This window comes from Homo sapiens, chromosome 14 (assembly GCF_000001405.40).
Source record: "Homo sapiens chromosome 14, GRCh38.p14 Primary Assembly".
NCBI classification, from domain to species: Eukaryota; Metazoa; Chordata; class Mammalia; order Primates; family Hominidae; genus Homo; species Homo sapiens.
The window spans coordinates 51,481,089-51,498,211 of NC_000014.9; the positions used below are offsets into that span (position 1 = coordinate 51,481,089).

At 41.6% G+C, this 17,123-nt stretch overlaps 1 protein-coding gene and 1 long non-coding RNA gene across 13 annotated transcripts in view; one reads left to right on the top strand and one right to left on the bottom strand.

Annotated features, from left to right (window-relative positions):
- FRMD6 (FERM domain containing 6) overlaps window positions 1-17,123 on the top strand; it is a 334,297-nt gene that overhangs the window by 84,658 nt on the left and 232,516 nt on the right. For 5 of the 12 annotated variants that reach the window (XM_047430922.1, XM_047430931.1, XM_047430926.1 and 2 more), the window contains exon 3: window positions 8,253-8,332. The gene's annotated coding sequence lies outside the window, so the exon portion shown is untranslated. Of the gene's footprint in view, window positions 1-8,039; window positions 8,333-10,322; window positions 10,447-17,123 lie in introns of those variants that run through there. The other 7 variants (XM_047430933.1, XM_047430920.1, XM_047430929.1 and 4 more) reach the window with 2 other exon arrangements.
- Window positions 1-17,123, bottom strand: part of FRMD6-AS2 (FRMD6 antisense RNA 2) — a 145,441-nt gene that overhangs the window by 26,577 nt on the left and 101,741 nt on the right. The window lies entirely within an intron of this gene.

The following is a 17,123-nucleotide window of genomic DNA, read 5'->3' on the forward strand; positions in this document are numbered from 1 at the left end:
CACTTACCCATCATTCATGCAAAGATCATTTCATGAAAACAATGTGATGCAGGTTTCATACTTATAGATACAAAACTTAAAGGTAAGAGTGAAAATATGAGGTATGTATTCGTCCGTTTTCATGCCGCTGATAAAGATATACCCGAGACTGGATAATTTATTTAAAAGAAAAAAGAGGTTTAATGGACTCACAGTTCTACATGGCTGGGGAGGCCTCACAATCATGGCAGAAAGTGAAAAGCATGTCTTATATGGGGGCAGACAAAAGAAGATGAGAGCCAAGTGAAAGGGGAAACCCCTTATAAAACCATCAACTCTCGTGAGACTTATTCACTACCACGAGAACAGTATGGGGGAACCGCCCCCATGATTCAATTATCCCCCACTGGGTCCCTTCCGCAACACATGGGAATAATAGGAGCTACAGTTCAAGATGAGAGTTAGGTGGAGACACAGCCAAGCCATATCAAACTGCCTACTATTTGCAAAAGTATACGGTGTAAAGGACACAGACACCTCACCTAAGTGAATATCACTTGGGTTCCAGGTTTCCTTCGATCACCCAAGCTGGCTATTATTATCGTTCTTACACTGCAAGCAACTTATATCCCAGGCCCTGAAAAGGGGCCAGCTTTGTTGGAACATCATGTGTGGACTGACATAGGAATACTCTGTCACTTGACTGACAATTGGAAAGCATGAGAGTGCTTTCTGGCACACGGGCCCCTCCAAATGCTTCCTGGAGTGGCTATTTTGCCAGTAGATCAGTAACAGAGATTAGGGCATATGCAGAGCAGGCCCTGTTGTTTTTCCAGGAACTAGCCCTAATTTGTATTATGTTTTATTTTGTTTGTTCAAATTGCATTTTATAATTTATAATTACATTTCCCCCTGGGTATAGCAGAAGGCAAGCAGTATGGTTATGGAAACCTCAGCGCTTATTGTTTTTCAAAAATGTTGGAAGTTTCAGGGACTGAAGAATGGGGATCATTTCATTATAGAAAAGAAAAAGATGTCTAGCAAAGGGTAACAGTCTCAACTTGATTAGTGTTTTCCATAACATAAAAGTGGTGCTGCCTCCAATAGAATTATCTGGCTTTACCTGACTTTGGACTTCACTTCAGATGTTCCCTACAGCTATTTGCTGACCATCTGAAATGTTAAGACTGGGGCTTATGTCATGGCACACAAGCAGAGTGCAGGGCCTCCTGGAGCCAGCCCTCGCACGTGGTGTCATGGAGACTGCAGAACCCCACACCCACTTTGGCTGAAGGCCACACACAGTCTCCAGCGCCAATGAAGAGGCTTCTCAATCCATGTTTCTAGAACAAAGCTCAACCTGCAGTGGAGGAGTCTGGAAGAAGTGCTCCATGGGTGTTTCTATAACCTGTCTTTACCAGAGAGTCGGCATTGTGCATTTTACTCCCTCTATCTCTGCTCGGAGAGAATCACCGGGAATAGTGAAATTCAGGAAAGCCGCAAAAATTCTTAAAGTGGGAGAATCTGTCCAAGGAACAGAAGTAAGCATAATACAACTATATCTAGGAAAGAGAGAGGTGCAATTGGAGAAGGAACTTTGCAGGAACTGTGTGTGTGTGTGTGTGTATTTGGTTTTTGTTTGTTTGTTTTTGAGATGGAGTCTGGCACTGTCGCCTGGACTGGAGTAAAATGGCACGATCTCAGCTCATTGCAACCTCTGCCTCCTGGGTTCACTCAATTCTCCTGCCTCAGCCTCCCGAGTAGCTGGGATTATAGGTGCACACCACCACACCTGGCGAATTTTTTGTATTTTTAGTAGAGACGGGGGGTTTCACTATGTCGGCCAGACTGGTCTCGATCTCCTGACCTCGTGATCTACCCGCCTCAGCCTCCCAAAGTGCTGGGATGACAAGCGTGAGCCACTGCGCCTGGCCTTGGTTGGTTTTTAATGCATCCAGTGATGTTTTGTCCTGTTCCAGTTCTTAAAATTTTTTTGAAAGCTAGATATATTTTTTGCTTAGTTGTGTACTGGAATACCTCTAGTGATACCAGTAACAGTTCAATTTTATGAAGTGTTTTTCTTTAAACCATTATCTTCAGAGATTTTTGATTGAAGAATTCATTCATTCAGTAAATACGTATTGCATATCTTTTATCCAATGGGCACCTTTCTGAAAAGCGGAGATGCAATAACAAACAAGAGAGTTGAGGTCTCTCCTCAAATGATGCAAGTACTTACATTCTAACTGGGGAGACCAGCAGTACACACATATACAAGAAAGCACCAGGTGGTAACAAGTGTCATAGAAGATTAAAGGAGGAAGCATGTGTTCAAAAATGAATGGGGGATGGTGATGGGGCATTTGAAGGGAGTCTTGCATGAACAGAAGCAGGCATGAGAAGCCCTGGAGGAAGGGCATTCCAGGCATGGGGAACAGCCAGGGCAAAGTCTCTAAGATTGGCATGAGCTTGGCAATGTGCAGGAACAAAAATGGTACCCGTGGCTGAAATGTTTTACAGGAGAATTTGGAGAGTATGGTGGAGGCTGGTGAAGGCCTTGTAGGCTAAAGTAAGGAATTTGAATTTTAGTCTAGCTGTCACAGAAAGCCATCGTAGGGTTTTAATCAGGGAAGTGATAAAGTTTCATTTGGAAACAATAAACTAATACTCAGTACTATTGAATATTGCTCAAACTATTTAAAGTCAATATTTCATTTTTACATGTTTCAAGGAAAATGAAAGGTAATGAACACAGAGCATCTTTTATGTAGAGTGTATTGTTTGTTTCATGTAACTCTTAGAACAACCCTAGAGGTAATTATTCGTCATATCTATATTCATCCAGATGATAAAACTGAGGCTTGCAGAGATTAAGTAACTCACCCAAAGCCACATAGCTGGGGCAGAGTAAGAGTTCGCTTCTTTATGAAGAGTGTGTGCTATTTCCGTTACACCATGTTGTCTTAGCGTTTGAGGTCTAGAAAAGCACCTTCAACATAGATGTTCAATAAATCTGTTAAATGTATAAAAAATAAGCTTTTCCATTAAAAAAATCTATTTTAAGTCATAAGTCAAAGAATATCTTTACAGGGAATTGGGCATGTTCAAAATTGTTGGAAAGGCTTGGGTTGGGGGATGTGAGGCTGGGATTCCAGATGATTTCAGAATGAATTGCTGATCTGACCTGCCAGGGAAGCCACCTCTGTTTCCTTCTGCTATGGCCTGGAACAGATGTGAATCAGGAGGCCACTGCTGATACTGTTAACTCCAAGAACAAATCACCTTAGCTGCAATATAACCATCAAGAAAACTTGACTACCACCACCAGAATAGCCACTCAACAGTCACCCAGTGGAGACAGGGCCCTGGAAACTGTTAACTCCAAGAACAGATCACCTTAGCTGCAACATAACGAACAAGAAAACTTCACTACCACCACCAGAATAGCCACTCAGCAGTCACCCAGTGGAGACAGGGCCCTGGAACCCTGCTGTAGAGAAGCTCCTGCCTCCATAAACCTGTTTGCAAATAGCAACAGGAGAAGCAGCAGGAAAGATAGTCCCTCCCTCACTTCCATCTTCCAAATCTCCCATGTGCAACTAATTTGGAGGACTGAATTGTAAATCAAACCCCGGCTGGAAGAGAGCCTAGGAAATGCAGTTTTTAGCTTTCCGGCCTGTGAACCATGGAGGGAAAGTGAAGTGGATGATGAGTGCCAGTTTCTCATATTCACATCTCCCACTTCCTATCCAACTGCAATGTCCATCACTTGGCAAAGCAATTTTGAAACTTTGAAAGGCAGTCAATGGGGTAGAAGTTTTGGTTGACATTAGTTGAACACAGCTACTCTCTGAGTGTCAAAGGGCTGCACTAGTAGCTTCTTGGGTGAGGAGCTTCCTGGGCCTGCACTTGGCCTATGATGCTTCTGCCTCAAAGATAAATGAGCTGAGGATTAGTTTATACCCTGCGAGGTCCTCAGAAGAACACAGCGTAATTGAAGTTAATGTGCTTTCTTTACAAGCATTTAACCAAGCTCAAAAGTGTCTGTGGACAGTTGGCTTTTAAGGCGTCTAAGAACATGGTTACAGAGGGCCTCTCACCAACCACCAGCTTCTAGAGAAGCCCGTGTGGGATGGGGATGCCTCCACGGCCTTTGCTCTGCTTCACAGCTCACCTACACAAGTCTCATGTCAAGTCAACTCTGCTGGTCACATGGGTTTCTTCCCTGTCTCTCTGTGTTTCTTCTCTTCTTAGAAGAAAACTGGTCATTGGATTTAAGGCCTACCCTAATCCAATAGGACCTCATTTTTAACTAATTACATCTGCAAGACCCTATTTGCAAATATGACCACATTCTGAGGTTCCAAGTGGACATGACCTTTGAGGGAACACTATTCAACCCACTATAGTGACCCTTTCAACTGTGCACTGTGCAGAAGATTTGTGTTTTCTTGCTAAGACAAACCCTAGATCCAGTACACCATTCCTGTTTGAGGAACAGTACCTGTGACCATCTCTTCATCCCATCTCACTCCCTAACTCAATCCAAATTTCTAATTTCTGCATTTGAAATTTCTGCATTTCTGTTCAATATGTGATCCTCTAGGGTATATCGTAGTCACGCCATCCTTTGTTTGGTGGTGATCACATGTGTGGTTACAGAATCATGGGCATGGCTCGGTTGAAGATTATATATGCTGGATATATGTCTTCATATTTTATTTATATGGCTGTATTTTTCTACCTAAGCGAAAAACCTTTTCAACAGGTTAACTTTCCCGAGGTGAGGAAGTCCAAGCCCAGAGCATTTTAACAACAGGTGACATTTAGCAGGCACACTGCAGTCAAGCTGAGGGATGGCCAGGGAACTGCCTCAGAATCCCAGACCTGATTGTTGCCAGACTTCCCCTTGAAGTTCCAACCATACTTGCAAGTTTGCAAGTTGGATCACTTCCTTTTCTTTTTTTTTTTTTTTTAATTGTTTTGAGATGGAGTCTCGCACTGTCACCCAGGCTGGAGTGCAGTGGCGCGATTTCGGCTCACTGCAAGCTCCGCCTCCCGGGTTCACGTCATTCTCCTGCCTCAGCCTCCCGAGTAGCTGGGACTACAGGCGCCCGCCACCATGCCCGGCTAATTTTTTGTATTTTTAGTAGAGACGGGGTTTCACCGTGTTAGCCAGGATGGTCTCCATCTACTGACCTGTTGATCCGCCCTCCTCGGCCTCCCAAAGTGCTGGGATTACAGGCATGATCCACCATGCCCGGCCTGCAAGTTGGATCACTTTCTTTGTGGGAGTCTGATGGACTGAGGAGGGCTATCTAACTATTAAGCATTAGCAGTATGCAGTATGGTGCAGCAGTTCTGTATCAAGAATTCCTGTGTAGAGTTTTTATGTGCATTCAATGCATTGATGGTTTCATTTATTGACTTTGCAGGCATTTATGAAGTTCTTACTGTATACCTGTTATCATAACTGGCACTGAAAACATAGAAAAAATAAAAGACCAGAATAGTTCCCAAAGGAATCAAATTTCATACTTGTATCTTCGTGGACACTGATACAATGCTAATCTCTTTCCTGGTCAGTCCAGAGCTTTGCTGATCTATAGACTCAATCACAAGATGCCTATTTCAAGTTGAAAGTGGATGAGAAATTCTGGTTGTGGGTATGCTTGTCCTTATGTGGAAGATGCCAGTCATTCTCTCTTTTGTCATTTAACCTATGTTGTCATATCCCTAACGATCTCTGACCTTGCAGCCCTTAAAAAGAATGATGCAATGCTATATATGCTAGGCATGGAAAGATGTCCTAGATACAATATTCAGTGAAAAAAGCAAGTTTCAGGATAGTATATAGGGTATAAAACCGTTTTTTTTTTTTTGTTTTTGAAGTACTGGAGAAATGTTGTTCTGGGACCAGCAGCATGAGCATTACCTGGGAACTTGTTGGAAATGCAAATGCTTAGGCCTCACCCCAGACCTACTGCATCAGAAACTCTCAGTATGGGTTTGGGAATCATGAACATGACCCCCAGGTGGTCCCAATGAATGCTCAAGTTGAAGACCTGCTGCTCTAGCGTGTACAGTGTCCCAGTATTGTTTGTTACTGTATATAGTATCCTAAGGTCTAGTGTGGGTTTGTCACAGCTTTATAACTGGCTTATAGTTACAGTCCCTGTAAATGAATTGCTTGTTATAAAGAATTTTGATTACATTATTTTTGGTTTATTGTATTTGTATATACATTTCCTTTACAAAATCAGTAAAATACAAAATCAACAAATTATAGGTACTGGAAAAAATGCTGCTGACTATATGAAAACAATCTCTAGATGGCTGTACATTAAGCCAGTGCTTTTCAGACTCTGATTTACATACAGATCACTTGGGGGATCTTGTGAAAATGCAAGACTGGATTAAGGCCTGAGGTCCTGCATTTCCAACCAGCTCCAGGTCAGTGCTGCTGTTCTATGGGTCACATTTTGAATAGCAAGCCACTAAAATGTTATCCATAGTTATTGTTGGAAGGTCAAATGGTGGGGAGTTATGCTTTGTACATTTCACCTTTGCGCATTATTTTTTAAAAATATTTTTTACAAATAACTATATTCAGAGAAAGGATGAAAGATTTTTAAAGTCTTTCACCAGAATTTGCCTTACTTTGACATCTCTCTGCTATGCAGGCTTAGCCTTGAAACACATTTCCAAGAGTGAAGCAAAAGGAAACTCATTTATTGGCCCTAGAAATCCCCCCACTGATACTGTAGAAATGAATGTTAAAAAGCAGTGGTGATAGGTATAGAGGGAAGTAGGAAGAAATTCATATTAGCTGGAATTTTTTTAGTGCCAGTATTAGAAATCTAACTGAAATGGGCTTAAGGAGATAAAGGACATTTTTAAGAAATCTGAGGGAAATGCTTGCTTTCGTCATGGCTGAATGAAGTGTTCAAACGATGTAGTAACGAGATCTGCTTTCTTCTGCAGTGGCTTTATCTTCAGGCAGTTCCTCTTTCCCTAGGGTGGCCACCAGCAGCCCTAGGCTCTGCTTCTATGATTAGAAACCACAGCAGAATGAGAACCTCCCTTCCCAGCAAAAATTCCAGGGACGACTCCCATTGGCAGGAGCCCGTCTCTGAAATTTTCGCAGTAATTTTGATTGGCTAGACTTGGCCACAGGCCCACTTCTGAAGAAGTCTGGGGGTGGTGTCAACAACATCCACGACAGCTGAGAGGAAGGGGTGATTCCCCAAAGGAAAATCAAAGTTTTGATACAAAAACAAGATGGAATAGATGTAAAACTGAGAGATGGTGTTCTGTTATTGTGCCAGTCTTCCAGCCCAATCCTTTCATTTTGCTTATTTGGAAATCAGTTTAAGGGATTTATTCAAGGTCACATGGGTAGTCAACAGCAGAGCAAGACTTAACAACTTCTGCCCTATTTCTACATCCTCTCTACTGTAGTACTACCACCTTCTTGGAAACTAGGAATGAATCAAACATGGAGCTTCTATAATGCTTGCCTTATCTTTGAAATGTCTTCTTAAATACTGTATTTCATGATATTGAATTTAAAGGAACTCTAATTGCACATCTCTCATCTTTGACTCTCCTACATTGACTGCCTGGAGTAAGAAAGCCACATTCTTTCTGTGATAGTAATCCTTGCTACTCCTTTCCTCTTTGGGGAAACAAGTCAAAGCTTGACAAAGTGTAGCTGCTGATCTATTTGAACGAAGTTCGATCCCTAACCAGTGATCCCATGAATGAGGTGGATGCCCTATGGATGGAGAAGCTCACACCGGCCTCTGCTTTTTTTGTGGTATATTTTATCCCGAGAGCTTGATTAATAATCTAGACTGGGTCCTCCCTTTGGGTGGGTATGTTGCCCTCCCAATTTTCCCAGGCACAGCAATATCTCTGCAGACAGGTACGGGCATGCATCAGAAATCTGGAGGCTCGCCCAAAAAGTTATGTCTGCTGTTTGTGAAGGGGCAATGTAGCAATTATATGAGTAATGCAGTGGCAGATCTTCTATGAGAAATTAAAACTGGAGAAAGAGGGCTTTCCTCCTTGAAGGAAGGGTGTTGGGTGAACTAACACTATTTTCTCCTGCCCTTTCCCCCAATCTCAATCCCTTTCTCTCCAAACATTCTTCCTTGAGCACCCCACTCTGGCACTCAAAAAGCCATGGGAATGGGAAAGAAGTGGCTGGAAGTAAACAGCCTGCTTACTCACAGCAACTGAAAATTTTGTTTCGACGATTCTGGTTCCAGGGGCAGGAGCTGAAGATTAATGCCTGGAGTCTGCCCCATTCTGAGAGCAGCAGCCTGGCTCCTGGTGGCTCCAGCAGCAGGTAGGAAAAAAATGTTTGTTCTTACCCTTTTTTATGAAATATAATCTGAAGACAAATTTAATGTTAAATTCCTGTACAATGGGCACAGTAGAATCATCGAAGGGTTTAAATAATTTGATTTGTCTGCAAACCAGCCCAAACTGCTGAGGGAGTTGGTTCTGCTGCTGAAGTTGATCTGTCTCATGATTTATTCTTTAGGGAAGGGGGTACCTTGGGTTGTCCAATGTAACAGCCACTGCTGTCAGGGCTAGGAAGAAACTCACATCTTCATGACTTGACAGTGCCTGTGCTTTCTGTACTTTTGCTTACAGTGTGTGTGTTTATGTACGTGTCCTGTACTCTAGACACACACTTGCCTTGGTAAGAACACTCTCAAAAACACAGATGATAACCTGACCAGAAGACCGGTCCCTTTGATGCACCGTTTTATTCTAAATGTTTCAAGAGCCCAACAATGACTTCTTGTAAGACACCATCATAAGTTTTTAAAAAGGAAGTTATTAAGAGTCTGGGAAACATTAAGTAGGTGTCGGTTACATTAGTATCAGTTACATGCTTACCCTCTGGGTTGGAAAAGGAGACATTTACATATTTGGGGTTCCTGCACTTCTTTTATGAGGGGTATAACTTAGCAAAACTAGACAAGAAACTGTACAATGAATACAATGAGCTGTTACAGAGTTTGTCATAACCAGATCCCAAGTGTTGTAAAAGTAAAATATGATGCATGTGTGATAGAAGGAAGTGATAAAGGGAATATGGAGAAGAACAAAGTGGAGTTTTATGAGAATTTCTAGGTCTACTTTTAAAAAACAGACTAAGTTTGTGAGTCAGTAACTAGGCAATCAGTTCTCAGAGAAGCTACTTATGAACTGTGTCATCACATTACTTTTAAGATGACCAAATATTGAGGCTATCTGTTGTTTGCCATTGTGAGTGTGTGCTTGTGTTTCTGCATGTGTATTTATGACAGAGAGAGAGAGACAGAATATGAGGGAGGGAGAGAGGAGAAACTCTCATATATTGGCTTACAGACAAATGCTGGGTCATTTAAAAATGCATCTCTGTAACCACTTGTTCTGGAAACATTAATCACCACCTTCTGTGTTTTGGGCACCGTGCTGGGTCCTGGCTGTATACGTGTGTATAGTGTGTGGGGCACAGTGCTAGGTCCTGGACGATATATGTGTGTATTTTGTGTGTGTGTGTGTGTGTATAAAATGCGAAATTTCTTCTTTAGTAACCTTTACCTACCTCTTATTCGTGTTGCCAACAAAAAGACAACCGCAGAGTTTTAGTGCAGTTACCGTAGCAGAATTCTTAAGGTGGCCCAGTTACCGAAACTGCTTGTGTACTGACCTACTATAAAAATATGTATTGTCTATATATACTTGGGAATGACACCCTGTTGAAAATAAATACTGTGTTCCTCTCAGTACTGGGCTCAAGCTTCCTTAAAATCCAGTTCTCCAAGGCCAAGAATAGTGAGAGCACTGCTATGAGATTTGGACCCTGTTTGTGATCCCTGAGTTCCCTGGGCAAGGGCCCTGGTTCTTGACTAAGGGCAGGCTCTAAGGCAGGGACCAAATACCTTCTCTGCCCTGCCCTCTCCCCAAAACCCTGGGAATGAAGTTGAATGGGGAGTGGGGTGGGTGGAGCCCCTTCCCCTTTGGAAGACTCTTCCCTGGGTGTCTCCAAGGGAAGCTTCTTTTCTCTTTTGCATCGTTCTGAATGCCCTAGGCCCTCAACAAACATTCTTGAACTTCCTTGCATGTTAGCATGGGGCCCTCACCTGCCCTAAGAGGCTAACTCCTTAGCTGGACTGAGGCAGGCCCACAGGCAAGGTTGATAGATGTAAAGGTCACCTCAGTACCAGCACATGCGCTTCCTTTTCACTGCTTCCTTACAGCTGCTTCTTCTCTTGGTTGCTATAAATAACATCCTTCCCCACTCTGGAAAATGTCTGAGTTTTTCATTGATGGTTCCCCAGCTCCTCACATCTCCTAGTTCTGGTGAAATATGCTGCCATGGGGGAAATGACAAAGCAGAGGAAGAAATCAGCAGCAATATCAGTAACAGCACCCAGAATTTGCTGAGCGCCAGCTATGTGCCAGGTACTGTGCCAAAGGCTTTATATACCTGATCTAATTTATTCTTTACAACAACCCTATGAAGTAAGGACTACTGGTATCCCCATTTCATAGAAACAAACAAACAAAACAAAACAAAAAAATTTAAAAAATGAAACCAAAATGGACGCTTAGCCTTTTCTCTGCTGCTGGGGGATTCAAATCTAAGTGCCCGACTCCAAAGCATTCGACCACAGCCTGTGATGACAGTGAAAATCAAATTGATCTTGAAAGTTGGCCAGGAGAAGACAGTACAGCTCTGTGAGGCGGACACTTAGGCAGAATCCCTTCTGGCCCTCTTAGCTCCCCTGTTCTTCCATGGAGGCTCTGGAAAGGTCTGCTGGAAACCACCAGGGAGACCAAAGGACTTCCTCTGCTGCCTGTGAGTTGTCTCTCCAAGTGTCCTGTCGTGCCTCCCTTTGAGGTCTGGCAGCTGACATTTATCTTGGTCTTTGTTTACAAACAAGGGCTGTGCATCTTGTTCTTTCCTTGCTGTTCAGGGCTGACTCTAACTCTGCAGGAACATATGTTTGACTTCCACTATGCTGCTGTTTCCGGAGACAGAGTCCTGCTTTAAGAGGAGTCAGGAAGTGTCCACACTTGTTCTTTTCCTTTCCTTGAGTTTCAGCTAATATATTCCCCAGAACCTACCTAGAACCAAGAGTTCTCCTCTTGGGATGGACTCCTAGTACCTGTTTGAAACTACTCTCAGGTAGAGTTTGGGAAATCTCTAACCTGTTTGCCTGTGGTCCTACAATTAACCAGTCTTGTGATAGCTCATTCCCAAGCTGTCACAACTGTCACAACTCTAACCTGTTCCTGTGTGTATCTATAGGCAAATCTTCTGTAATGTGGATCTTGTCTCACAAGACTAGGGATGCCAGAGGAGGGCCAAGGTCAGCCTCCTTAGCACCGAGACCATTGGATGACTCTGGTTAACTTGAGCAGCATACCGAGACCTATCCCCTTAAACGTCTTAGAAACTATTTTTATTGTATAACTTGGTAATGAATCAGTCAAGTATCACCTTCTTTGATGTTTGGTCTTAAGTTGCTTATTTTCATTTTCAAAGAGTTTCTCTCATTTTGAATTTTTAAAAAAAGAGAATAAAAGAATTGCAGATTTGAAACAACAGAAAGGAAGAAGACTAATATTAATTGAACAGGTAGTGTGTACCCAGTGTTTTACTATCCTCTTTACATGTGATACACCATTTAATCATGACAGAACCTGGCAAAGTAGAAAGACCCATTTTACAGTTGAAGACATTAAGGTTTAGTAAAAGTTCAGTACTAGGTGTGATGGAGGCGGCATGTAAATGGGGGTTGTAATTTGAAGCTCAAGTTGTTTCCCTTATTCCATGCTGCGTCCACCATGGCGCCTGGATTACAAACTCCTTCCCAGTGGACAGGGTGTGCTCAGATGGTTCATCTCATTTAATCTTCACAATCCTGGGATATAGGTACATGACACTGATTCAGCAGATGGGGAAACTGAGACTCAGAAGATGCTGCTGGGTTTATTTAAAACCACTTCCTATTATGGCTTTAAAAAGTTTCCTCCTCATCTCAAAGACAGCTGACTTCCTGGGAAAATGGTGTTTACATGAAAAAATTTAATCTCCCAGATCCTAATCAACAATCATCTATTTGTATCACTTTAGATTTTTCAAAACCTTGATCTTAGCAATATGTGTTTACTACTTTGTTCTACTTCATTTCTAACACAATTTTATTTCATAGACACAGGCTGATATGGTTTGGCTGTGTCCCCACCCAAATCTTGAATTGTAGCTCCCATAATTCCCATAATACATGTCGTAGGAGGGACTCAGTGGGAGGTAATTGAATCATGAGGGTGGGTATTTCCTGTGCCGTTCTTGTGATAGTGAATAAGTCTCACGAGATCTGATGGTTTTATAAAGGGGAGTTCCCCTGCACATGCTCTCTCTCTTCCCTGCTGCCATGTCAGATGTGATTTTGCTCTTCCTTTGCCTTCCACCATGATTGTGAGGCATCCCCAGCCCTGTGGAACTGTGAGTCAATTAAACCTGTTTCCTTTATAAATTACCCAGTCTCAGCTGTGTCTTTATTAGCAGTGTGAGAACTAATACACGAGGAAATGTCAATGAAATGACATACTTGTCATTTACTATATGAATATAGTTTTCTATCATATTACTCAGGCCAATTCCTTATTATTGAGCATTTGAGATGGTCCAATGAATGCAACTTTTTAACTTTTTCCTTTGGGTTTTTCTTTCAGACGTGTCAGTCTGTTCAGGCTGCTATAATAAAATATCATAAATTTGCATGGCTTATGAACAATAGAAATTTATTTCTCACAGTTCTAAAGGCTGGAAAGTCCAAGAACAAGGTGCCAGCTGATATGGTGTCTGGTGAGGGTCTGCTTCCTGATAGATAACCATTGTCTTACTCTAACTGGTGGAAGGTGCTAGCTAGTGGGGGTTCTTTTTAAATAAGGGCACTAATCCCAATTATGTGGATTCATAAGGATTTCAACCTATGAATTCTTGGGGTACACAAACATGCAGACAATATCATTCTGTCCCAGTCCCCCAAAATTCATGTTCTTCTTTCATGCAAAATACATTCATTGCATCCCAATAGCGCCAAGAGTCTTAACTTATTTCAGCATCAACTCAAAAGTCTAGAGTCCAAGGTCTCATCTAAATAGCCTCTAAATTAGATATGGATGAGATTTAAGATATGATTCATTCTGAGGCAAATTGCTCTCTAGCTATGAATCTATGAAACCAAACATGTTATATGCTTCTATGATACAGTGGTAGGATAGGCTTAGAATGGACATTCCCAATCCAAAAAGGAAAAATAGGGAAGAAGAAAGGAGTAACTGGTTCTGAGCAAGTCCAAAACCTTAAAACTCAAAAACAATCTTTGGCTTGATGCTGTGCCCTCCAGGCACACTGGGGCAGAGACTCTGCCTTCTGGATCCACTGGAGTGGCAGTTCTACCCTCACAGATTTGTCGGGCAAAGCCCATGCCACAGCTGTCATGGTTCGGAGTTGTGTGCTTGTGGTTCTTTGGGGCTGAAATGCACACCTGTGGCAACATCTATCTAGGGTCATGGGGGCAGCCTCACCCCCATGGCTGCACTCCGCATTGATTTTGGTGCCCTAATGGTAGTCTATGATAACCCTGTGCTTGATGGGGCTTTTGCACTCTGGGCCCATGATGAAGGTGACAGCCGTAATATTTTCTGAATTTCCTTCAGAGCCATTCTTCCATTGTCTTGGACAATAGGTCCTGGTTTCTGTTTAGATAGTTGACTAATTTCCTTGTCAACTATCGTTGTCATTTGGCCACACTCTTGATGTTTTCTCCCAAATATACGTTCTCATTCTTTACAATATGGATAAGCTGAGAATTTTCTAAATCTTTCAGCTCTGCTTCCATCTGGATTAACAATTTCATCTTTACGTCATTTCTCTCTTCTCACATTTTAGTATAGTCAGCCAGGAGAAGCCAAACCATACCTTCAACACTTGACTTAGAATTTTCCTCAGCCAAATATCCAATTTCACTGCTCACAAGTTTTTCCTTCCACAAAACACTAAGACAAAGACACAATTCAACTAAGGTATTTGCCACTTTGTGACAAGGATCACCTTTCTTCCATTGTTTAATAACATGTTTCTTGTTTCCCTCTGAGATCTCATCAGAATGGCCTTCATATCCATATTTCACCAATATTCTGTTCACAACAACCACTTATATATTCTCTAAGAATATTAAGGCATTCTCTACAGCTCTTCTCTTTTCTTTCCGAGTCCTCACCAGAATCACTTTTAAGGGTCTATCTTAGGAGGACACAAAAGTTCAGACCATAGCAGGGGAGTATGGCCTCCAAAGAAGAAATCACTGAGTCAAATAGAATGACAAATTTTATAGCTCTTCTGGCAAATTGCCAGATTGATTTCCTCAGAAACCAGCAACAAATACAAGCATTGTCTCCCGACAGTCCTAGGCTGCCCTGTTCTTTATTAAGTTGAATTCATTTATAGTTCTCCTCTCCAAAAGCTTTGGGGGCATTGATATTAGAGTGTCTTTCTCCCTATCACTGAGCCTTCTAACTGAGGACTGACACTGAGCCAGCTAACAGCAGCAATTCCTCCAGTGAGGGTAAGAAGACGTTAAATGCCATGTTCCGTGGCCTAAAGGAATTGGAGAGGTAGAGGAAATGCATGGGACAAATTGAGAAGGAAAGAAAACTAGGTGAAGAAGCCATGATAAACAGAGGTGTAATGGATGATATGGGAAAATTAATCCCTTGGGGTTCTTGAAATAAAGACCAAGATGTGAACTATATTTATTTATTGGTTTAGGTGGTCACCAGTCTCCAAGATAGCCCCTAATGATGATATTAGTACCCTGTGTTGTCCCTACCCACATTCTATAAGCATTGGTCTGTGTGGCTGGAATACAAGAGAAGTGATGATATGTTACTTCTGTATTAGAATGTGGAAGATGTAGCAGCTTCCATCTTGGCCACTCATTCCTCTCTCACACTCTTGGATCACTCACTCTGAGGAATCCAGCTGCAAGTTGAAAGCAGCACTGTGGAGAGGCCCACGTCATGAAGAGCATGGTGGTGACAGTGTTCCAACTGCAGCAGAATCCCAAACCACACCTTCACAAGAAAACCTGCACCATCTGCTCAACTAGCTCCTTGTTAAACTGAATAGACTGTATCAGTTATCTATTGCTGTGGAACGAAGCACCCCAAAATATAGTGGCTGAAAACAACAATGATTTCTTGTTTCTCACACTTCTTTGGATTAGTTAAGTAGCTCTCATGCTGTCTTCTTCCTAGACTTACTCGTGTGACTACAGTTAGCTACAGATTTAAAAGGGCGTCACTCCCATGTCTGGGGCCTCAGATAGAGATGGTTGGAATAGCTGGGACTCTAACTTCTGTGATTTTCTTATAGGCTTTAGGACAGTGCAATGTTCTCAGGGTACCAAGAGGATAACAGTAAAAGCTGCGAAGCCTCTTCAGATCTGGGCTTGGAAGTTGCACAGCATTACTTCTGCCACATTCTATTGGGTAAAACAAGTAAAAAAGGTTAGCTTAGATTAAGAGATGTGGGAATAAACTCTACCTCTTAATGAGAAGATTTGCAAATAATTTTTGGTCACTTATAATCCACAGGTCTACCATCTGGAAATAATTATTTGCATTCTTCCCATATGCAAAATACACTCATCCCTCCAAGACACTTAAAGTCTCATCTTTATGTGTGTCTTAATGATTGTGTCTGGTTTGAAGTCCATGATTTTTTGATCTGCCATCCGGTCCAGACATAAAATTTCTCACATGTAATTTCTCTTCATCCAGAAATGAGATTTGCCTTCCAACATAGCATATCCTGCCCCCTGTTCATTTCCTCTAAATTATACTTACAAGTTAAACCATACACCCACCATACAATGTTGAAACAGGGACATGGTAACCTTAATATCCTCATTCAAAAAGGAGGGTAATGGAGGCAATAGCAGTAATTGGTCCATAGTAATTCTGACATATGTATCTGGGCACATATTTTCAGATTCCTCCACTCAAGCAGGCAGAATTCCTTGATTAGAATCTGGCTCTACTCCTGACTCAACGCTCTGGGTTCTTGATTCCATCTTCTGAAATAACTTTTTTTTTTTTTTTTTTAAGAAACAACCTATGTTTTCAGCCAAGTATCTCTCTCAGCCTGTTGCTTGCTTGTAGAAAGTTGGGAGCCCAGAGGTCTCTTATCATCTAAACTGTTATTTATATAAAACTGTTCTTCAATCTGATACAACTCCTTTAAAAACTTTATCGGTTTTCCATGTATCATATTATTATTCCCTCTATTAGACAAAATCTATACCCATAATTCTTTCTGGGACAGGCCTCTCTCTACTAATGCTCTCTCCACACTAATGTTACAATAGAAATATAATGCAAGCCACATGTGTGAGTCATATATATGTTTTTTTGAAATCCTAATAGCCACATATTTTAAAAGAGTAAGAAGAAACAGATGAAATTGTAATATATTATTAGATGCAGTGTATCTAAAACATTATCATTTCAACATGTAATCTGTATAAAAATTATTGAGATATTTTAAACTTTTCCATACTACATGTTTGAAACCCAGCATGTATTTTACACTTACAAAACATCTCAATTTGGACTAGCCATATTTCAAGTGCCCAGTAGCTACACATCACTAGTGGTTACCATCCTGGGCAGCCCAGCTCTATATTACCCAGAGATATTTTGGGATGAGGCTTCTACGAATCTTAGAAGCCCTTTCATCCAGTTGAGAGTCTACTCAGAACTTCCTAAAGTCCTTTAGAGGCCTTAATACAGGATTTCATAGCCACACTCTAGATTAATCTTTACCCTGAAACCATTTTTTACTTTGAGAATCCTTTGCCAGCTGGAGAAAATGGAAATGAGGAACAGTCTTACATTCTAATCCAGCAAGTCCTGGGACCTGCTCATTTCCTCTATGTTGTGCTTGCAAACTAAATGATTCCTTCTTTAATTCATCCGTCTTTCTTCTATACCTTATCAGGCAGTGTTAAAAATAAAAACAAAAAACTATTTTAGCATTTTGTGTAGAAATAGCATTAGCCAGA